The 21,542-nt window shown below is 47.4% G+C and overlaps 3 protein-coding genes and 1 pseudogene across 15 annotated transcripts in view, besides 4 other annotated features; 2 read left to right on the top strand and 2 right to left on the bottom strand.

Moving 5' to 3' along the window:
• The first annotated feature begins 5,773 nt into the window (after positions 1-5,773).
• On the top strand, positions 5,774-11,273 carry RNF39 (ring finger protein 39). 3 transcript variants are annotated; one of them, NM_170769.3, is made up of 5 exons: positions 5,774-6,320; positions 8,065-8,087; positions 8,295-8,386; positions 9,852-10,144; positions 10,343-11,273. In NM_170769.3, exons 1-5 carry the CDS (start codon positions 5,958-5,960, stop codon positions 10,430-10,432), a joined length of 861 nt encoding a protein of 286 aa, NP_739575.3. In that variant the 5' UTR covers positions 5,774-5,957; the 3' UTR covers positions 10,433-11,273. The 3 variants fall into 3 exon arrangements, with proteins under 3 accessions (NP_739575.3, NP_079512.3, XP_016866814.1); NM_025236.4 differs by having other exon boundaries at positions 9,852-11,273; XM_017011325.2 differs by lacking the exon at positions 8,065-8,087 and having other exon boundaries at positions 9,852-11,273.
• Positions 6,324-6,997: an enhancer, noted in NCBI's record as "H3K27ac-H3K4me1 hESC enhancer chr6:30042323-30042996 (GRCh37/hg19 assembly coordinates)". NCBI's record gives its function as "activates a minimal SCP1, AML or CMV promoter by ChIP-STARR-seq in naive H9 embryonic stem cells {active_cell/tissue: H9 hESC(naive)}" and the evidence as "EXISTENCE:reporter gene assay evidence [ECO:0000049][PMID:30033119]".
• Positions 6,998-7,673: an enhancer, noted in NCBI's record as "H3K4me1 hESC enhancer chr6:30041647-30042322 (GRCh37/hg19 assembly coordinates)". NCBI's record gives its function as "activates a minimal SCP1, AML or CMV promoter by ChIP-STARR-seq in naive H9 embryonic stem cells {active_cell/tissue: H9 hESC(naive)}" and the evidence as "EXISTENCE:reporter gene assay evidence [ECO:0000049][PMID:30033119]".
• PPP1R11 (protein phosphatase 1 regulatory inhibitor subunit 11) lies at positions 11,210-20,278 on the bottom strand. 3 transcript variants are annotated; one of them, XM_047419280.1, is made up of 5 exons: positions 20,194-20,278; positions 14,534-14,684; positions 14,064-14,444; positions 12,845-12,953; positions 11,210-12,439 (listed from the first exon to the last, which is right to left on the bottom strand). In XM_047419280.1, exons 3-5 carry the CDS (start codon positions 14,130-14,132, stop codon positions 12,237-12,239), a joined length of 381 nt encoding a protein of 126 aa, XP_047275236.1. In that variant the 5' UTR covers positions 14,133-14,444; positions 14,534-14,684; positions 20,194-20,278; the 3' UTR covers positions 11,210-12,236. The 3 variants fall into 3 exon arrangements, with proteins under 3 accessions (XP_047275236.1, XP_047275235.1, NP_068778.1); XM_047419279.1 differs by having other exon boundaries at positions 14,064-14,684; NM_021959.3 differs by lacking the exons at positions 14,534-14,684; positions 20,194-20,278 and having other exon boundaries at positions 14,064-14,345.
• POLR1H (RNA polymerase I subunit H) lies at positions 16,636-21,481 on the bottom strand. Of its 6 annotated transcripts, none has more exons than XM_047418695.1 (5): positions 21,466-21,481; positions 19,874-20,028; positions 19,526-19,626; positions 19,210-19,319; positions 16,636-16,870 (listed from the first exon to the last, which is right to left on the bottom strand). In XM_047418695.1, exons 2-5 carry the CDS (start codon positions 20,016-20,018, stop codon positions 16,846-16,848), a joined length of 381 nt encoding a protein of 126 aa, XP_047274651.1. In that variant the 5' UTR covers positions 20,019-20,028; positions 21,466-21,481; the 3' UTR covers positions 16,636-16,845. The 6 variants fall into 6 exon arrangements, 5 of the variants coding, with proteins under 5 accessions (XP_047274651.1, NP_001265715.1, NP_055411.1 ...); NM_001278786.2 differs by lacking the exon at positions 21,466-21,481 and adding an exon at positions 20,130-20,278; NM_014596.6 differs by lacking the exon at positions 21,466-21,481 and adding an exon at positions 20,145-20,278.
• Positions 19,519-20,384: an enhancer, noted in NCBI's record as "H3K27ac hESC enhancer chr6:30028936-30029801 (GRCh37/hg19 assembly coordinates)". NCBI's record gives its function as "activates a minimal SCP1, AML or CMV promoter by ChIP-STARR-seq in primed H9 embryonic stem cells {active_cell/tissue: H9 hESC(primed)}" and the evidence as "EXISTENCE:reporter gene assay evidence [ECO:0000049][PMID:30033119]".
• POLR1HASP (POLR1H antisense, pseudogene) overlaps positions 20,354-21,542 on the top strand; it is a 60,179-nt pseudogene continuing 58,990 nt past the window's right edge. For 2 of the 3 annotated variants that reach the window (NR_026751.2, NR_145416.1), the window contains exons 1-2: positions 20,354-20,464; positions 20,548-20,802. The product of NR_026751.2 is annotated as a POLR1H antisense, pseudogene, transcript variant 1 (transcript). The remainder of the gene's footprint in view (positions 20,465-20,547; positions 20,803-21,542) is intronic. The other variant, NR_145418.1, reaches the window with a different exon arrangement.
• Positions 20,385-21,251: an enhancer, noted in NCBI's record as "H3K27ac hESC enhancer chr6:30028069-30028935 (GRCh37/hg19 assembly coordinates)". NCBI's record gives its function as "activates a minimal SCP1, AML or CMV promoter by ChIP-STARR-seq in naive H9 embryonic stem cells {active_cell/tissue: H9 hESC(naive)}" and the evidence as "EXISTENCE:reporter gene assay evidence [ECO:0000049][PMID:30033119]".

The raw sequence follows: 21,542 nt of genomic DNA, 5'->3' as shown, positions 1-21,542 counted from the left end.
AATGGGAGAAAATTTTCGCAACCTACTCATCTGACAAAGGGCTAATATCCAGAATCTACAATGAACTCAAACAAATTTACAAGAAAAAAACAAACAACCCCATCAAAAAATGGGCGAAGGACATGAACAGACACTTCTCAAAAGAAGACATTTATGCAGCCAAAAAACACATGAAAAAATGCTCACCATCACTGGCCATCAGAGAAATGCAAATCAAAACCACAATGAGATACCATCTCACACCAGTTAGAATGGCAATCATTAAAAAGTCAGGAAACAACAGGTGCTGGAGAGGATGTGGAGAAATAGGAACACTTTTACACTGTTGGTGGGACTGTAAACTAGTTCAACCATTGTGGAAGTCAGTGTGGCGATTCCTCAGGGATCTAGAACTAGAAATACCATTTGACCCAGCCATCCCATTACTGGTTATATACCCAGAGGACTATAAATCATGCTGCTATAAAGACACATGCACACGTATGTTTATTGTGGCATTATTCACAATAGCAAAGACTTGGAACCAACCCAAATGTCCAACAATGATAGACTGGATTAAGAAAATGTGGCACATATACACCATGGAATACTATGCAGTCATAAAAAATGATGAGTTCATGTCCTTTGTAGGGACATGAATGAAATTGGAAATCATCATTCTCAGTAAACTATCGCAAGAACAAAAAACCAAACACCGCATATTCTCACTCATAGGTGGGAATTGAACAATGAGAACACGTGGACACAGGAAGGGGAACATCACACTCTGGGGACTGTTGTGGGGTGAGGGCAGGGGGGAGGGATAGCATTGGGAGGTATACCTAATGCTAGATGACGAGTTGGTGGGTGCAGCGCACCAGCATGGCACGTGTATACATATGTAACTAACCTGCACATTGTGCACATGTACCCTAAAACTTAAAGTATAATAATAATAAATAAATAAATAAATAAGAAAACTGAGAAGACAAATAGTGAACATTTAGGGGAGAATTTAAATGATGGATAGAAATATTAGTGACATTGATAGGTGGGTTGTTGGAAGGAAAGAGAATAAGTGAGCACCTACATGAACTTGAAGGATGGGCAACATTTCAGAGAAACTGTTAGCCCTAAGCAGGGATTTAAAGGGAGAGAAAGGAAGGAGCCTTCCAGGAGGGACAGAAAAGAGAAAGTAAAGTCTCAAAAGAAAGAAATTAATATTTAAGGAAAAGAATATAGACTTTGGAGCCAGCAGGTTTGAATTTCAGTCCTGGCTCTGCCTCCTGCCGGCTGTTTGAGCCTAGTCAAATCCCTTACCATGCCAGAATCCCAGGGGCCTCAGTGTAACATGGCTGGACTTGGCCTCACGGCTATTATAGGGTTAAATGAGAGAATGGACTATGAAGGTGACATTTCTATAACATAGTCATGTATTTGAGTATCAAGATTGATTGGATTAATCTGGCTGGATATTCTTCCTCTATCCCTGCCTCAAGCCACCCCTCCTAAAACTGCCTCCCCCATCAGGGCAAGTTTTACTCAGAGTCCTTGGAGTAGTTGCATAGGAAAACTGCTCTGGTCTAATAGAATTTCCAGCTATGTTAAAGCACAGTGTAAACATCCAAGTCCTTAAAAAAATGAGTCATTATAGAAACAATCAAGATTGAAGAAAATCTTTGGGAAGGGCATAGTGAGTGGGAATTGAGAAAGAATTATGGTCTCCTTCATTTTGATTTCTTACCTCCTAGCCCTTCTTTTCCCAATCCAGTTTTCTCCCCAGAGATGCTTCACATTCTTTGTTCAGGCCTTTTCACTTCTCTTCCAGTCAACACAACCTTCACTTCTTTTACAGGTCACCTCCTCCTGGAAGACTTCCTGAAATGATTCCCACTTGTCCTTCAATCTGTCAACAGAATCCTCCCTCACTCTTCCCCCGTCACTGCACCTTTAAAATTTGGTAATGACAGATTTAGGTTGATGATGGATACACTTTATCTGCCTTCTTACACACCCTAATTCAGTAATGCTAAATTTTGTTGATGATGGATACACTTTACCTGCCTTATCACACTTCCTAAGGGCAGGGACCATGACTGTCCTGTGATCAGTCTCCCAAACTCCTCTATCATACTTATCTCTCCCTCTGGAAAGCTTCTAAAGACTAGTGGGGCTTTTAAAAGCATGAGGATGTTGCTAATATGGAGGAGAGAGACTGAAGGATAAATGAAAGGATAGAAGAAAAAAATGAAGAGAAGGAAAAGAAGGGATGGGTCAAGGCCTGTCCCACCTCTGACATTCCCTAGTGCCATGCATGGGTATCAAGCTGTCACACTCCACAACACCACAAGTAGGAATCCTGGAAGGAGTTGGAAAGGGGTGGGAACAGTTATTTAGGAGACACCTACATTAAGGAAGGAAGATGTGGATCCTAGCAGAGAGACAGGATCCCGTCATGGTCAACTGGATCAAGCCAAGCCAAGCTGACACACGTAAAATCACATCCACCCTTCTGGCTCTCTGGAAATAGAATGAACTCAGTGGTGATTAGAGCATCAAGTATAGAGTTGTTAGGGATTCTGGAAAGGGAGGGAGAAGGTCTTGAGAAGTGAGATGTTTCCAGGCAGAGTCTGTCTCCAAATGCCTTTTCCCTTACTGGTGTCCTGGAACCATTAGGTATGAACTCATTGTAACCTGGACGTAAAGGTTGAGCTGATGCTTTGTTAGCAGGAATCCTCACCATCTGGTTATGGAAGGCAAATGACAACTAGTCATGAACTTCCTAGCCAGACTGAGCACCATATGTCTTATAACACCTGAGCGTTTCCCAGCACTATGCCTGGCATCTGCCAGTGAGGCATGACTATTGGTTGAGAAGGATAAGAAGGTCTAAGCAGAGTCAATCAAATGACCCTCTCAGGTTGTCCAATCAGTGTAATGAGCAATTCAACAACTGGACCTAAGTTTATTAAGGCTGACTGTGTGCCAGGTGCTATTCTAGGTGCAGGGAAAGCAGCAGCAAACATGAAGGTTAGGTCCCTGTTCACTCACCTTCTATTGGACAGAGACACATCAAAAGTCCATAAATAGATCACTGCAGACAGTAATAAATAGCATGAAGATAATAAATATGGGTAAAGAGATAGTGAATACCTTTGAGAAAGACCACTTGAGATACAAGTGGTAAAAGAAGTCCTCTCTGAATGTTACCTTTGGGTTGAGACATGAGTGAGAAAATGGAGAAAGCCATGTGAAGCTCTGGAGGAGCAGGGGCCCAGGCAGAGGGAACAGTGAGTGCAAAGGCGGTGCAGCCGCACCAGCAGTGGCTCGGGGAACGAGAAGTAGAAGGCACTGCAGCCAGAGCACAAGGAGCAAAATGGAGTGACCAGCCCACATGAACAGCCGTCATTCAAGACCATGGTTCTCCTGTTAGCTAAACACTGCAACCATCTGGAAAGCTTTTAAAAGTACTGACACCTGGGACCCACCCCCAGGGTGTCCGTTTAATTGGTCTGAGGTGTCACTTGGGCATCAGGAGTTTTAAAGTTTCCCAGATAATTCTAATGTGCAACTGAAGCTGTTAACCGCTGACAAGCCCATGAGGGCCATAGCAAGGCACTTGGATTGGTGACAATTGAGGTTCTTGAGGAGTCTCAGAGACATTTCTCCAGTACTTCAAGCCCAGATCCAAAAAGATCCTGAGAGGCCTTGGAGTTGGGGATAAGCCAGGACAATGAAGGAAAAGAGATAACATGAGACTGAAAAGAAGGTCAAGAGAGGCAGAGACATCCAGAAAATATGACAAACTGGAAGGTGCAACAACACAGAAGTGCAAACAGACTCAGAGAGTCAGAGACTGGAGGAGAAAAGGCAATCTTGTGTATTAGTTTCCTATTGATACTGTAACAAATTACCACAAACTTAGGAGCTTGAAACAATACACATTTGTTACTTTATTATTCTGTAGTTCAGAGTCTGAAATGGGTCTTACTGGGCAAAAATTAAGGTGTCAGCAGTGCTAGGTTCCTTCTGAATGGTCTGCTAGAGAATCCATTCCCTCGTCTTTTGCAGCTTCCAGAGGTTACCCACTTCCTTAGCTTGTGGCTTCCTGCCTCAGTCTCCAAAGCCAGCAATGTCAGGCCGATCACTTCTCATGCTGCTATCTCTCTATGCTACCTATCAGAGCATAGAAGTGCATCTTTTACAAAATAGATTTCAGTCACAACTGTAGTCTTATGCTTGGGTATCTGTGTGTTTTATGAGCACTGAGCCGGGAGGGTTGTTCCAAGATGAATGTACGTGTGTTTGTTTGTGTAGGTTTGTTTATCAGGGTGTCATATTTGAGTGTCTCCCCGATAAGTATGGGGGAGGCAGAAGAAGAGTGCCTGGAGGGGGTGCCTAATAAAGTCCTGCTGCTCCATAAAGACTTACTGCTGTTATACTGTTATTCTTATTAATAATAAAACTGATGATAGAGTATCTGTCTCTTTGCCTGTTTTCTTTGAGCATGTCCGTCTGTTCCTAAATAATACTGGACATTTATCCCAGTGATATTCAATGCATATGAGGCTATTCATACACATTATATTTAGCTGTGATGTTTGTATTACATGAATGCTTCTGTCTGCAAGTTTGTGCACATTTGGGCATTTGGACACTGATGGATGCAGACACATGTTATATAACAGTGTGGGTGATCATAGTTGTAGACATCTGGATGTTTACTTATGCACAAACCCCCATGAGTATCCAGTTAGCTAGGCCTGGCATTGGAAGGGTAGAGAAGCTAGGAAGAGGAGGGAGCAGGGAGGAAGAGGAGAGGTGGGGAGAGGAGCAGGTAAGGAGAAAAAGAGAGAATGGAGGTGAGGAATGAAGGCACAAAGGAACACCAGAAAAAAATCAGGAAGCAGGAGGGGGTCCCAGGGATCTGCAACTGAAAAAGGCAGGGTTGACTCACAGCAAGAACACAAGTCAGAAGACCAGGGTAGGGCTCCACTTCTGGTCATTCCCTTGCTATGTGACCTTGGCTATTCCAGTTCTCTGGGCCTCTGTGAACTACCAGAGTTGAAATAGATAATACCGGGTACATTCCAAAGAAGGAAGGAAAGAGAAAACTGGTAATAAAATCACACACGGGGAAAAACAGAGAGAAAGAACCAGAAAGAGAGACTTACGAAGAAAGTAAGGAGAGGCCCTGGGAGCTGGCCAGAGGTAGAGCTGAAAGAGCTCTGCCCCGACTCCCTGAGGCCGAAGTGTGGGCGCCTGCTCCCCACCCCTTACCCCAGAGCTGCAGAATGCCCTTAAGCCCTTAATAGGTAAGGAAGGAAGATGGAAAGGCGAGAGGCACCAGGAATGAAAACCACACATCAACACTCAGAGGCTTGCCAAAGCCACACAAACCAGGATCTGTGCTTCCGGCCCCCAGCCCCCAGATGTAGGTGTGCCAGCCACCTGGAATGACTCGCACCTTGGCAATGTGGGCGCACATGCCAAGAGTGAGCCTGGGCACCCGGCCCATGCGCGTACCACAGGCGGAGGGGAAGGTAAAATTGGGGCTCTTCGGGGGGTCACAGGGGGCTACCCTCCCCACACAGGGCTACCCCGCCCCAGAGCGCCCTCTAGTGACCGCCTCCTAGGCTCTGGGAACCAGGTGTGCTATTCTCCCCTCCCTGCTCCCCCAAACCTTACCCGGGAAGCAGGAGAACCAGATGAGGCGTTACGCAAGGCCTGGTGTTTACCTCCCGTGGGAGCCTCCTCCCTCCCTATAAAGCCTGATGTGGTGGAGAGATTTGACGAGACTGAGACTCTGGTTGAAGAGAGAGGCAATCCCAGGAGAGGGGCGGAAAGCGGCAAAAGTTAATGCGGGAGTCGGAGAGAAGGGCATCTACACAGCAAGCAGCAGGGGCGGCCCGCCATCTGCGCGCTCGAAGGCGGTCACGGTGGTCGCGGAAGGGGCGGCGTCCAGATCCTGGCTTTCCATGGATGCGCCCGAGCTGGGCCCGGGGCTGGTGGAGCGTCTGGAGCAGCTGGCGACGTGTCCTCTGTGCGGGGGCTCCTTCGAGGACCCGGTGCTTCTGGCGTGCGAGCACAGCTTCTGCCGCGCGTGTCTGGCCCGCCGCTGGGGGACTCCGCCGGCGACCGGCACCGAGGCTTCCCCCACCGCCTGTCCCTGCTGCGGCCTGCCGTGTCCCCGCCGCAGCCTGAGGTCTAATGTGCGGCTGGCGGTGGAGGTGCGAATCAGCCGCGAGCTGCGAGAGAAGCTGGCTGAGCCTGGGGCCCGTGCGGGGAGACGCCGAGGGGGGCGCATCCCCACCATGGGCTGCCTGGACCTGCCCGGAGAGGTGAGGCTGGGCGCGCGTCGCGGAGTTGTTGGTGGAAGCGGGAGGTTCCCGGGGAAGCCGGGAATGGCACGTCTGGAGCCGGAGGCCCTGTGGAAGTTTAGGCAAAGGATGGGGTGGGGAGAGAAAAGCAAAGGATGAGGGGGCGAGGACCCTGGGTCCTCAAGGTGAGAGGCGCCCGGAAGGACGATGGATGGAGTTGACACTTGGTCCACAGGGGAGGAGGCTGGACCGATGCCTGAGCCTTGTGAGAGGGGCTGGAGAGAAGAGACTGGGGAGGCAGAGAAGGGGTACCGGATAGAACGCGGAGAGCCCTGGAGTCGCCGCGAAGGGCATGGGAACTGCAGAAGTTTTGGCAGGGCAGCCGCAGGCGCCCGGGAGGAGGAGAGCTGGCGGAGGGGAGGGAGCGGCGGGCGGAAGGGAGAGCCGACCCAGCTGAGGGTGAGGAGGGGTCCTGGGAGGATGGTGGGCGAGGGCAGAACCTGCTTAGAGGAGCGGGAGCAGGAGGCTGGGCTGGTGGGTTGGGGGCGGAGAAAAAGCTGGGGAGGAGGGGACTGACAAGAGGATGGAGGAAGGGAGCAAGGGGTTGGGGCATATCCAAACCTCCCCGTAGCGTCGTGGGGGTTGGTCTCGGACTCTGGCTCAAGCTAAGCCCTGTGTTGTTTGTTATTGTTATTTCGGCTCCTCCCAAGGCCCCAGGCAGGAGCGGCCAGGGGTGGAGGCGAGGTGCGGGAGAACAGCCGCTGGGGCCTCTGGCTCCTCTCCACATCCCAGTCTTACCACCCATCTACCCCCCGCGCCTCTCCTGGGCCCCGGCTCCTTGGCCACTAACCAGCCCATTCCCTTGCCCGACCGACCCCTGGGCGTCTGGGACTCCTGACTGGCTTCTTCCCAGCAGCCAAGCTGGTCTTGGGTCTTGCTTCTGCCCTTTGAAGTCTTCATAGACCTAATTAGTCTGAAAGTAATTGGCACAATTATGCAAATTGTTTCTCTCTCCCCCGCTCCACCATATCGGCCTGCTCCAGCCATCAGCACTAGACAGTGAAGTGGAGGGGTCGGTATCCCAGTGTTTGGAGGGGAGCATCCAGTGCCCTCTCCTGGCTCCCATAGTACTCTGTGGATCTGCTGGGCCTTTTGGGACACATTCAAGTCTAGCTGCCTCCCTGGCCAGGGTCCAGAGACACAAAGCAAAGGGCCCAATAAATGCCACTGGGCTTTTATTGCAAGAGGGGAAGCAGCTTTATTGTAAGGCTTTTATATACCAACTCTTAGCCCGAGGGCTCTGGGTGTGTGTTTGGTCTGTGTGATGGAGGGAGGAAGGGACAGATGTTTTTCTGGGATGCACTGGGGAAGGTAGATAAGGATGGGGCCGCTGAAAGAGACAGAGAATGGGACTGAGGAGGCAGCAAGGAAGGCAAGGGCTCTGAGGACAAGAAACAGTCACGGACGAGCCTGGGAAAAGAGAATTGAGAACCCTTGGGGAGTGGAAAGGGGGAGGACAGTGGGGATGGAGTTAGGAGGATGAGGGAAAAGTGATGGGGTGAGAGGAAGGAGGGATCATGAAAGGTGAAGGAGGAGAATGAGAGGGAAAGGAGCACAGTGTGTAAAGAGGTGAGATCACTCTGAAAGGTGAGGAGGGACACTGCTAACTCAGACAGAACTCACCTGAGGAGGGGAGAGATAGGGAAGGATGCCCCAGGGAATGAAGCCCAGAGCTCACATCCATGTTTGTTTCTGCCCATCCTAGGATATGAGGAAGACATGGAGACGGTGAGTTCCACTTTTCTGTTCCCTCCTTTTCTCACCAGCTGCCATAGCCATCACGTTCTCACTGGGCCCACACCTTTGTTCCCATTAATAGGCAGGTTTTCTGGGGTATAGTCTCATCCCTTCTTCCTCCAGAGATGTGAGTGGGGTATGCGTGGGGGCATTAGGATCAGAGGGCTGATTTCCTGACCCTTCCCCTCATCTGTGTAGATTTGAAGTCCCAACATCCAAGTCATCTAATTCAGAGGATGATCTCCCTGAAGATTATCCAGTGGTCAAAAAAATGCTTCATAGACTGACAGGTAAGGAAAGAAGAAGGGAGGGAAGGGAATTGAATGAAAGTCTGTGTTAGATTTTCTTCCTTTTAGCCCTAAAAAGTGATCAGGTCCTTTTTGATGTCTGCATTAGTTTCCTAGTACTGCTCTAATGAAGCACCGCAAAGTAGGTGGCTGAAACAACAGACATTTATCTCAAAGTTCAGGAGGTAGAAGTCTGAAATCAAGGTGTCAGCAGTGTTGGTTCCTTCTGACGGCCATGAGACAGAATCTGTTCCATGCCTGTCTCCTAGCCTCTGGTAGCCTCACATGTTCTTTGGGTGATAGGTCTGCACATTTTCTTTTGTATGCATTTGTCTCTGTGTCCAAATTTCCTCTTTTTGTAAGTCAGCAATCTGGATTAGAGCCCACCCTAATGACCTTCATTTTAACTTGATTACCTATGTAAAGATCCTGTTTCAAAACAAGGTAACATTCTGAGGTTTGGAGGACTTCAACCTATCTTTGTGTGTGTGTGTGGAGTGGGGGAGGGCACAGTTCAGCCTATAACAATGTCTATCCTCGATTCCTCATATTCCAGCCATTTTCCCTCTTCCTTTTTCATACATTCAAACAACAGATCCCTGAAGGTTAGGTGCCTCTCAAAAATCTCTGCTTCCACCACCTCTCGTCACTCCTCCCTGGAAGGGGACCCCAGCATCTCCTTGACCCTTCTTTCCTCACTCACTCCCAAGAAGAAGGGTGCCTCTACCCTTCTTTAAACTGCCTAGAGAAGGTGGTCCACCATCTTGGTCATCCACCATCTTGCCCAGTCCAGATTGCTTCTGACACCCCTAATCCAGAAATTTTTCTTCAAAGCACCCCATACATATAAGGCCAATGGTTCTTTTTCTGGTCTCTGGCTATCACCACCTGCTCTCCTCCTCTGCCCCACAACCCCTACAGAAATAGGACTGTCCACCCCACCCCCCAATTCCTGTGGGTGGGTGGGCTGGTTTCTCAGGATACCTTGGATTCCTCCCTGTGCCCCTCCCATTACTTGAGGTTCCAGTATCAGTACGACTTTCTCTTTAGATGAACCTTCCCCATTTTGCTGACCCAGCTCCCATGCCCCACCCCAGATGATGCAGATTGAGGTATCAGTCCTTACTCCTCCCTCGAAGTCAGATCAGCCTCACTCTTCCTCCCCCAACCCCACAAACGAGACAACCTCTCATTTGATCTTCCTGCTGTGCTCCCTGCACTGGGCCAGTATGATCCTTCCCCAGGTCCAATTCTACAGAAGTGGTGCATCAGTACAAGGTCTGATATTGCCCAGGTCTGCTCTTCATATGCCTTCCTTCTTTTTGGTCCTGCAGTCGCCTTTTGAGCTGTTGTGTGGTCACTAGCTCTCAGTCTTTTACGTGATCTTCGTTGACTATTCTCCACCCTACCCCGCCTGTGATTTAGAAAACTCTCTCATGAGGTCCTCTCCCTGCCTCCCCGTCTCCAGCCGACCTGACCCTGGACCCTGGGACCGCACACCGCCGCCTGCTCATCTCCGCCGACCGCCGCAGCGTACAACTGGCCCCACCAGGGACGCCCGCGCCCCCTGACGGCCCCAAGCGCTTCGATCAGCTCCCAGCTGTGCTGGGTGCGCAGGGCTTCGGGGCCGGCCGCCACTGCTGGGAGGTGGAGACTGCGGACGCCGCCTCCTGCAGAGACTCTTCTGGGGAGGATGCGGACGACGAGGAGAGCCACTATGCAGTGGGCGCGGCCGGGGAATCAGTGCAACGCAAGGGCTGCGTAAGGCTGTGCCCTGCGGGGGCCGTGTGGGCCGTGGAGGGCCGCGGCGGCCGCCTGTGGGCCCTCACGGCACCCGAACCCACCCTGCTGGGCGGTGTTGAGCCCCCGCCGCGGCGCATTCGCGTGGACCTGGACTGGGAGCGGGGCCGCGTGGCCTTCTACGACGGCCGCTCACTCGACCTGCTTTACGCCTTCCAGGCGCCTGGCCCCCTGGGGGAGCGCATCTTCCCGCTGTTCTGCACCTGCGACCCTCGTGCTCCGCTCCGCATTGTACCAGCGGAAAGCTGAGTCTCGTCTCCAACTAGAAGTTTGGCCCGGCCACTGGCCCTGCAGCTGCTTTTTGGGGGTGGAATTCCCCACTCATTTCTGGGAACACATTCACACGCCCATTGCAGGAGTATTAATAGCAACCCACATTTTCGCCCCAAAATAATGAGACCTCACCTGGTCTCCACGTTTCCACGTCCCTGCTCAAAACCAAATCCATTCCTGCCTTCTGGCTCTCAGAATCTTCTCTCCCCTACAGCTACTACAGTACTTCCTGACTTCTCCCATTCAAACCATTCTAGGCCTGCAATGGGGAACAGGCCCTCCCCATCAGTATTGGTAAAGTGACCATGATTCCTACATAGAGGCTCTGCTGGTCAAATACTTGACTCCCACTCTTGCCACTCCTAGCTCCAGAAGGGCTCAGGGCCTTCCCCACAGATCTAAGGACTGGGCTACCCTGCCTGTCCACTGAGGTTTCTCCTAAAACAAGAGGCTTGACTCTGGTCTGGGCCCTGTGGCCCTCTGGGAAGCTTTGTACCTCTTTTGCAGGATCTGGGGGTGGGGAGGGACAAGCTAGTTCCCCAACCTCCTATGACTGCTTTCTATGCTCACAGCCTTTTTTCCATAAGAACCTTCTTGAAACTTCTCCCCGCACATACTCACGGAAAGGAACCAATGGTGCTATTTCCCCTCTCTCCTCCTCAACCTGGGAATACTTCAGACATCTCCAAACTCATCCTTGTGTATAGTCTCACACCCTTCCCCATAAGTATAAATGGGCCCATATTTAACACATTTTGTGATTTTGGGTTATTTATTTTGTGCATCTGTGGCAATAAATGAGATCTCAGTGGTGGTATGGATTTGACTGATCTCTGTAACTGTGTATGGCAAAAGGACCGGAAAATGAAAACCGGATCCCAGTAAGGGGTAGAGAGGGGCCAAGAGAACTGAACATCTGGGCTGCCGGAGAAATCAAAGTCTAGGAAGTAAGAGGTAAGAGTGTACTACAGGGGACATACCCCAATCTCTTTGCTCCCTCCCTCTTCCTTCCTCTCCCAGAGACCCAGGTCCCTGGGACTATATTGGATCTGTCTCTGAAGCTGAAAAACAAAAGGCAGAGGAGACAGTCGGCTCTAAGTGACCAATCTCAAGCCAGCTTTGTCAGAAATCCTAAATAACAGGAGAAGGGTGGGAAGAAAGGATATGATTATTTCTTATTCCATTTTCCATAAGAGGTGAGAATGACAAGGACCTCTTTTCTAACTCCTCTTGAGGGTGTGAGAAGGGTTAGCAGGAGGAGAAGGGCTGGGAGCTCTGAGGTCTCCTGTAAGACCTCATATCTCACAGGCAAGGACTAAGAATTAGGATTAAATATTTTAGTGGGATAGCTCTAAACCAGGATTAGCAAGCAAAGTTAGGGCGCAAATTCCTGGAATCTGACTGGGACCCTGGCAGTGAAAGCTGGGACTGTTGAAAACCCAATTTAAGTGTTCGCTACTCATGTTGAGAGTGCAGGGCCAAGATAACTAGATCCCAGGACAGGCAGTTTGGCAGTGAGAACAAAAGGAAGACACTGGGACCAAGGTGCCTAGATCCCTCGAGAGAGAAGGGTGGGTATTGGGAGGAAAAATGAGGACTGGGGAAACCCAGGAGGCTGGGTTCTGGAATAGCAGCAAGTCAGAATTTCAGGATCTCTGTTCGTCCTCCTCTTCCTCTTCCCTCTATCAGGCAGAAGAGAGGGAAGGAGGGGGCTGGAGAAGTAGCCACATGGATACATTTAGGGCCAGACAGACACAGGAATGCTGGAGGAGAGAGGGATTTAGTGCTGCATTGGCCCTGGAGGGGGCTGGGAAGGGTCAGGAGGCTGGGGAGGGGTGGTGGGGGTCGGTCCTAGGGTTGCACGACGCCGTCCTTTGCGGTGGCCACGTACACAGTGTGTATGACCACAGCCCTCTTCTTCCTCCTCATCACTTTCCGTGGAGCTCTCGCCAAAGGCCCGAGGTTTCTCATAAATACAGCAGCCTAGATTTAGAGGGAGGAGCCCAGTTAAAGAGGAGGAAGGGTAAGATATATAGTCAGTTCCATTCCCACTCAAACTCAGTGAAAATTCCTATTTTCTCCTACCTTCCAGGATCCAGCTTCCCCAGGCCCACCCTCTGGGACTCAGGCCCCACCCCTCTTGTCCTCTTAGAGAGCCACGAATTCAAAGCCCCACTTCTCCCACCTCTGACACTTCTTGCTGTCAGACCTAGGCAATTCCAGTTCTAGCCCTTCCCTACCTCTTTCCCTGATACCACAGCACCACCAAAAAAGTGACAGAACTATGAACATCTGGGGGCTTCTGGAAAGCCAGTGGATATGAGTAGATACAAGATATGCTGAAGGGAGCCAGAACTCCAGGGCTACTGCGGGCCAACAATTACTCACATTTGGATGAGCGGCGGCCCATGTGTTCATTGTCCACAGTGTCACTTGTCCATTCTACCTTTTTCTCTGGCTTCCGTTTCCGAAGTTTGATGGTAAGGCTCCGGTTCTCCTAGAAGGTTAAGGATGAGCATACCTATCTAGTCCCCTCTTACTAACCTTTCCCACTCCCTCCCAGGGAACCTCCTCTCTTTTCTTCTTTAGCTCAATCAGTACCATAGGCATAGCACCAGAGGAGCTGACAGAAGATAAAACAGAACAGGTCTTTTACCTCAGATAGTCCCTTGAGGAATAAGTATTATTTCCTGTTCTTATACCACCAGTATAAGAGAAGACACAATTCCTAACCTAGGAAAGGTCCCAGCAACTCTTCAAAGGAAAATATAATCCTTGCTGTTTCTCCGTCTTCCTCCCCAAATCATCCTTGGTAGTATTAATACATGAAAATTATTTTTCAGTCCCCAGCACCTAATCTTTGATCTCCCTTCCTTTTTCCAGATCCCCTATTCTTTTTCTCTTAAAAAAACAAACAAAACCTCTCTCATTCTCAAGCTCCAGCCCTCCCTACCTCTTATCCACCTATTCTCTGGCATCCTGGCATCTCTAGTAGCAAGTATTACTAATCTATTAATTACTAAACTTCCTTTAATCCAAGAGTATTAAGCCCAATGCAACCTTCTCCCTTTGAAGGCAACTTAACATGTTTTTGGATAAATACTTCTTGTTTCTCCATTTACATCTTTGCTCTCTGATTTCTCAAAATACCTCTTTTCATCTCCTTTTCTTGTTTCCTCATTCCTGCCACTTCCTTTTACATTCATCCATTCAATAAATATTTATTCGAATATCAATATTGATAATATTGATAAGTTGGCCTCCAACCATGCTTTCTTACACTACCTTTGATTTCCTCCCAACATCTTCCTGGCTCCTTAATCCTCAATTTCCCTTTCGTTTATTACTTACACACATAACCACCCCAAGCAGCAACACCTATATCCTAACTGTACCTCCCTATTACAAGTTCCTTGACCTGCCTCCTGCACCATCTCTGCCACTCCAAATAGCTCCAATACCTTCCGATTCTCCCAGCCCTAGATATTCAACCCCACACCTCCCATATCCCTAGGCCTAGCTCCTCCAACAACTCTTCTAATCCCTGTCCCCTCCCTCCCAGTATCTCCCAGACCCCTAAACAGCACCGCCCCCCCGCCTTTCTCACGGGCTCGGTTGTCACGGTAACCGTTGTCTCAGTGACGGTCTCGCTCAGCCCAGCCCCTGCCTCGGCCATGGCTAAGGCTCAGGACAGGGAGGAGAGGAGGAAGGGGGATGAGACACCCTTCCCTTTTTCTGTCGCTGAGGTCTAAGAGAAGCGGTATCGGATTCAGAGTGGTAGCCAGGATCCTCCACCTTCTTTATTCCCCCTCCTCCTGGGCCTCCGCTTCTCCACCCCTGGGGATAACCTGGCTAACCCCACTTCCGGCTCGCCGCTTCCGGGTGTGACGCATACTGCAGTCCCCCTTTTTCCCTTCCACGGCACCAAATGCGTCAAAGCGCAGGCGTCGCTGGATTAGTTCCGCCGTAACGTGACAGCGCGCAGGCGCTGAAAGAAAGAGAAACAAATTTGGCGGAAGGGGTGTCACTGCGGGTGTGGGTGGAGGAGGGAGAGTCTGGGGCAGCACGCGTACTCACAGCCTAGAGGAAGCAGGAGGGGCGCCCAGATGGGTATTGCCGGGCCAGACGCTGCAGAGTGGGTGTGGCGAGGGCGGAGTTGTGTGCACCAAGCTGAGTCCTGCTGCAGATTTCCGTTTGCCTTGTCTGGGTAGGTGGACCGGCGAGGAAGCTTAAGGAGCAATAGTAATGACCCTACCGTGGCCTATTTCCCTTTCCTTGTTTGGTCTGGGTTTCTCTAAAGAAAACGGGAAGTGGGAGCAGTTGGAAACACACTTAAGAGTCAAGCGATGTGGTTCTACCCCTCGCCCTGTGCCTGTAGGTGTTTGAGCAGTTCAGTTTAGTGCACGTTCAACGTCAGTTTTTTTCAGTCACTGTGCTACGCCTTGAAGATGGAGGCGCGTAAGACGCTCAGACCCTGCCTTTTAGCTCTAGTAGGAAAGACAGGCATGCTGAAAACTAACAAAAATATGAAACACTGGGGCATTAACAAATGCCATGTCTGATTTGTAAATCTGAATGTAGTTACATACTGCCAACATATTCGTTCTCTCTGGGGTGATGAGTAGGATGAAGCAGAGAAATGGTCGTAAATTACAGTATAGGCTATTTTATAAAAATATATGCACGTTTCTTAGAGAGCAAAAGAAAGTGGTAAAACAAGAACCAGGAAGGCCGACAAGTAGGTTTTTTTAGAAGAGCAGCTTAAAAAGTTGTAGATGTGTGCACTACAGGAAATGGAGTTTTGTACCGCTTGGATCTGAGGGAGTGCCAGATGAAGCTTGACAGGTAGGCAGTGGTTATATGGAAGAACCTGTATGCTTTGCTAAGAAATTAAGCTTAATCCAATCACTGTTATGGGCCAGAGAAAGGCTTAAAGTAGGGTAGAAACATGAACAGGTTTGTTTCAGATTTCAGGAGTGGGTCAGGAAAGTCAACTGCCAGAACAGTTCAAACGTACAGTGGGGAAGACTGCCCTGCCCATTCTCCAGGTTGCTGTGGGGGTCAAACAAGATAGCTATGTTTGAGAGCTCTGAATATATATAAAGGGCCACACAATTATATGATAATTATTACAGTAACCCCTTGATCACTATTTGAGCCAAGGAATGCGGGACCTGAGTATGCATTTGTTCCCCTTGAAAGTTTTTAGTTCAAACAGAAAAAAGCAAGATATAGTTCAGCATGTCTAGTCCATTAAAAAAACCAAACACATATATAGCAACACACATATACAGAGCCACATACATATACACAAGCACAGATATACAGTATAATTTGGTTATCTCTGTGGAGTAGGATTCCTTGTGACTTTACTTTTTTCTTTCTTTCTATGTAAGAATCTATTATAATAGATATACAATTCATCCTTGAACAACATGGGGGTAAGGGGTGCTGACCCTCTGAACAGCCAAAAATCCATATATAACTTTTGACTCCCCCAAAACTTTACTGTTGACCAGATGCCTTACCAATAACATAAACCGTTGATTAACACATATTTTGTATATGTATTATATACTTATAATACATATAATCTTACAATCAAGTAAGCTAGAGAAAACATTATTAAGAAAATCATAAGGAAAAGAAAATATATTTACTATTCATTAAGTAGAAGTGGATCACATTTTCATGTTGAGTAGGCTCAGGAGGAGGAAAAGGAGGGCTTAAATGTGCTGCTATCTTATGGGTCTCAGAAGTAGAAGAAAATCCACATATATGTAGACTCAAGCAGTTCAAACCTGTGTTGTTCAAGGGTCAACTGTGTATTGTATTTATCTCAATACTAATAAAATACTCACCTATAGTGATCACTTAGTGGCATTACTTAGTATCAGATTTTTTGTTGTCCAAATTTATATGCTAAAGAGATCTGGTTAAAATTTCTGTTAAATGTCTCACTATCCAAATTCCTAGTTTTTCTTAACCTAAACTCAGGAACCAAATAGATTTAAATAGTATGGCAATACTTACAATTGCTTTTTGTTTATATTAGCCTCATTCCTGACTCTACTTTTTTGTCCTAATTTTTCCCCCTTTTCTTTTTCATATAAATATATCTCTGGAAACTCATTTAAATTCCTTTTGGAATAAGACAGATTATAAGTAACATACATATGTCAGGGTCTTATAGAAAAATATAACTTTAATAAGGAAATTCAACTAAGGGTAGGAGTACTCCAGGAACAATGGTAATCCCCACATGATGATCTGATTCTCTTCTGGGAGCAAAACATTGCAACCAGACAGGATGGACAAGGCATCTAAAAACCCAGTATCCTTCACCTTCCGAAAGGAGGGAGGGACTGTAGAGTTGCCCAGGAAAAAGGTCAAGAGTCTTCCTTCTCCTGGAACCTATGAGGAAAGAAAGGACTTGTTATATTCACCAAAAGATGAGTTTCTAGTAGTATAAGATAAGATATGCAATCAAATAATCAAGGAAGGACTTTTATTTATGACATCATTGAGGACTGGCTCCCCTAAACAAACTTCCAATTCTAATTCCAAGACAACTAAAAATTCTGGGATTAAAAATATATCCAATGAGTTATAACCTCAAAGCAAAGATTTCTTAGGACACAGAAAGCACTAGCTGTAAAAGAAAAAAAAAAGGATAAGCTGAACCTTATAAAAACTTAAAACTTCTGCTCATTTAAAGAGGGTTAAGAAAATAGGCAAGCCACACGCTGGGAAAAAAAATCTTCTTTTTATTTAAAAAAAATTTTTTTTTTTTTGGTAAAATGACAACCAGTGATAGGAAAAAAATACTTTTAAAAGATATATCTGACTATGAATATTTTTAATCCTTTGATGAGATGGCAAGAAAGTAAAGGCAATCTGCACACTGGTTAAAAGTTCTGTAAAACCAGAAATCCAGACAGGGAAGTTAAAACTAATGTCCCTATGAAACGTGACAGTGACACTATGGTGCCCTTTATACTGTTTTGACAGTCACTGGAAGCATAGGAAATGAGGGACAAAATGTATAAGGTCTGATAGGAGATCCCGTGCATAAATTTGGGAACTGCAAAAGGCTGCCCTTTCTTGTAAAAGTGAACAAGAAAAGAAAAAATTCAACTCTATAGAAGGGGAATTTGACTGTCTCAGTAGGTAGAAAGAGAGAAAACTCTCTCCTGAGAATTTCTAACTGTAAGCTAGCCCTTACATGGATTTGCAGCTCAAATTCATACTATCTGTCTGCTCCAAAAAACATGAAGCCAAGAATTTATTTAAAGTAATTCCAGCTTGATAGTGCTTCAAGGCACCTAGAAAAGAAACACAAATGCTGAGAATACAGCACTCGCCCAAGGCCTCAAAGAATTCCTACAGTTCAAGTTCTAAAAAACTCGAATTTATAGTCAAAAATCACAAAACAAAGAAAAAAAGCACTATGAGAGAGACAGCAGAAACAAAAGACAGCAGCATCAGACACACAAAATCCGCAGATATCAGAATTATAAGACATAGAATATAATAACCATATTTAATATTTTAAATATATATTTAAAGAATAATAAAAGGAACAATTTAAAATATGATTAAAGAACTGATAATTATTTAAAAATTAAGGAGATTTGAAAAGTAATTAAATAGAACTCAAAATAATAACAATAGTAAAAAATAATAATACTTGAAATAAACTGAAGACAGAATTAGTGACATGGAAGAGGGACCTGAAGAAATTACTCAGAAGGTGGCATAAAGAGAACAGCAATTGAAAATATGAAAAGAAGGTGAGAGAAATGGAGGACAGAAGAGAGAAACCTCTTTCTAGTAACTAATTCGAGGTCCAGAATGTGAGGACTGAGAACATGGGGGAAAGAGAATATTAAAAGAGATGATGGCTGATAATTTTCCAAGGTTGATGAAAAAAAAGTCCACTCTCAGTTTCAGAAAGTCCAACAAATCCCAAACAGAATAAAAGAAAATCGTATTTTGATATACTATAGTGACTGCAGAACACCAAAGACAAAAATGAGGTCTTAAAAGCATTCAGAAAGCCCATGTTCTCTAAGTCATGTGTGACTAATTCTCTCCAAAGAAAGCTACCTTGACTGCGGTTGAAGACTGCAGTATAAGATGCTGACCACTAAACAATACCTGCTTCTTATGTTGTTTTTTTTTTCTTCATTTCCTTTTAAATATCCTAAAAGTAGGTCAGGCGGGGTGGCTCATGCCTGTAATCCCAGCACTTTGGGATGCTGAGGTGGGTGGATCACTTGAGCTCAGAAGTTCAAGACCAGCCTGGGAAACATAGAGAAACCCCATCTCTACTAAAAATACAAAAAAAAAAAAAAAAAAAAAAAAAAAAAGCCAGGCGTGGTGGCATGTGTCTGTGGTCCCAGCTACTTTGGAGGCTGAGGTGGGAGGATTACCTGAGCCCAGGAGGCGGAGGTTGCAGTGAGCCAAGATTGCCTCGCTGCACTCCAGGCTAGGTGACAGAGCGACACCCTGTCAAAAAAAAAAAAAAAAAAAAAAAAAAATCCTAAAAGGTTTATTTCACTGGTTATAAAAAGGTTTAAAAAAGTGTAACTTAAAAAAATAAAAAACAACTACAAATCTCCCTATTACCAGAACTGCACAGAAATAAGGGATGGGACCAAGGGAAACGGCCATTTCGTACAAAAAAATAAATCACTGGATTTGTTTAGTTAGCAAACAGACTGAGCAGAGGGAGGGGAAAGAATACTCACTTGCAGTTGGTACAGGTGTAGAAGACAGTTTGCCCTTCATCGGCTGAACGCATCTGTCTGGTGTGGTATGCCATTCCTTCATGACCACATCGAGGGCAGCGCCTGTCAACCTGGGAAGAAACTGGTGGGTTAGGGAGGCCTGGTCATATCCCCTTACTTCCCACAGGAATCAGGCGATCACGCCTCTCAAACGTCGATGGTTTACATCTCTTTTCCCTCTTGGAATTGGGCACAAAACTCTCCAGAGCTTTGCAATCACTCCTCCATTTCTTTCCTACCCACCTTATGGAGCCAGTTCTTGATCTCATTAGCTTACCACAGGTCCCTGGCACTCAGGCCCTTCCTCCACCGACATAGGCATGGCTGTCCCCAGTTGGTGGAACACAACCGAAGTCTTCACAACCTTCCCCTCAAAGTCTGCACAGGCAAGTAAGAACTGGTTATGGAGACAACCAGAGAGAGCTGACACCGGAAACCTCCCCTTTCCCCTGGCTGGTTAGGCCAGGAGGCCCTACATCCTTTCCCTCAGTTTTCATCGCTAGACCAAATGTACAACCGCCTGATGTCCTGCTCTAGGATCCCCTCCTCAACCCAACCGATCTTGAGTTCCCCAAGCTTCCGACCCTGCGCCCTCCGCCAGGACCCCTGCGTACAAGCCTCTCACCCCGAACGTTGATGTTGAAGCCACAGCGAATACAGGTGACCGTATCCTGAGCCCCGGGCAGAGGCAGGACCGAGCCGCAATCTGAACAGAAATCCAGGTCCGACTGAAAGCTGGAGCAAGTATTGGCGAGGTCCATGACAGACATGCGGTCGGGTCTGAGGAGGGAGTTGGAAGTTTATTAACAAAAGAGAGAAGAGTTCCTGTCCCAGAGGTCGTAACTATTCTGTCCCAGGACCTAGGAGTATATAACCCGAACCCTCCTGCCACGCACGCCTCCTGCCTCTGCGACCAAGGAGCCGAAACGCCCGGAATTCCCAGACAGCGTCGGGTACTAAAGGACTTGGAACCCTTTCCAGGGGCCGGTGAGAGGAGTTAACCAACTCCGTGGGCTAGAGCGCCAGCTCTGCGCCCGCGGCGGGGCAGCGAGATAGAGCCGGCTAGAGCGTCAGGCTTTCGCGTTGACGATTGGCTGTGACGTCATAATTAATTGCGAACCGTGTCTCGGGAGCGTTAGAGATGGAGACTAACGTCTTCCAAGGGAGATTGCGTCTCCACTTTCACCCTGGTACTGAGAGGTTGAGCACAAAATTGGTAACCAATGCTGCGCTTCCAGCAAATTTTCCCACCAGCACCCAATCCTGGGATATTTATTCTCTTTGTCTCACATCCTACAGGAACGCAGTCGCGGGGTATATCCCCCTGAAAACCGTACGTTGCCAAATAATGATTTCTTTGGATTAGAGAACTACAACTCCCCTGGGTCCTGAGCCGGTATTTCCCTTTTGCGGCTGCACCGTAGTTAAAAACAAAGCTAAGTGTTCTGGGACGTATAGTTCTAGCGTTCCTTGGGTCCCGCTGGCGAGCGTGGGCTTTCTGCAGCTCGCAACCGGCCTCGTGCTTTGCGGACGGTTCACTGCGCTTGGAAAGGGGTGAGTCGGCTTTTTGAGGGACAGCAAGTGGTGAGAGTGAAGGCCCGAGGAATGCTTAGTCCCACGGGACGAAAGGAAGCAGGGATGAAGTGGTACACTTGAGAAGGGGTTCAGGACTTTGGAGGTGGTGGAACAGAGGAGCTTGGGGCTTCCTCTCCTTCGACTCCTGCCAGATAAGTGAGGCTAGCAGTAGTCAAGAAAGCTCATTAAGTAGGATTTCATAAGACTTAGGTCGAGTTTGGCTTTTAGTTGTGCCTGCCGCCTATCGAACTCTTAATTCATTATGTCATCCGTTAAGTGGACAGCTGACATTTCCCTGATCTTTTATAAAACATGAGAATAAGTATCTTTGGGAAATCTTTCTATTTTCATTAATCTGTAACTTATATTCCAAGTAGAAACTTTCCCTGAAGGGGCAGCTTGTAGTTGTTTACTAGTTTCCTGCTAGCCCTCCCACCACCATCCACTCTGATAGCTGTGCTAAGTTCATTCATATAAAAGTTCTGGAGCCATCACTGTTTTCTCCTATGAAGGACACAAGCTGTAGTCTTTTCGCTGGGAGAGGCTCCCATCTGCCTTTCTCTGTAATAATGGAGAGAACGCCATAGTGAAAGGGTTAAAACTCAGCAAACTGCTGAAGAGTGACAAGCCCTATCATTTAACTGTGAAATTGCTTGTTATTCTGTCTTACAAAGGGAGACGTGTTGTTGAGCTGATTGTCGTAGACAGTTTTTATTCTC

This window comes from Homo sapiens, chromosome 6 (genome assembly GCF_000001405.40).
Source record: "Homo sapiens chromosome 6, GRCh38.p14 Primary Assembly".
Classification (NCBI taxonomy): Eukaryota; Metazoa; Chordata; class Mammalia; order Primates; family Hominidae; genus Homo; species Homo sapiens.
Note: the sequence above shows the minus strand (reverse complement) of the source record. Positions and strands in the feature narration are given on the sequence as shown.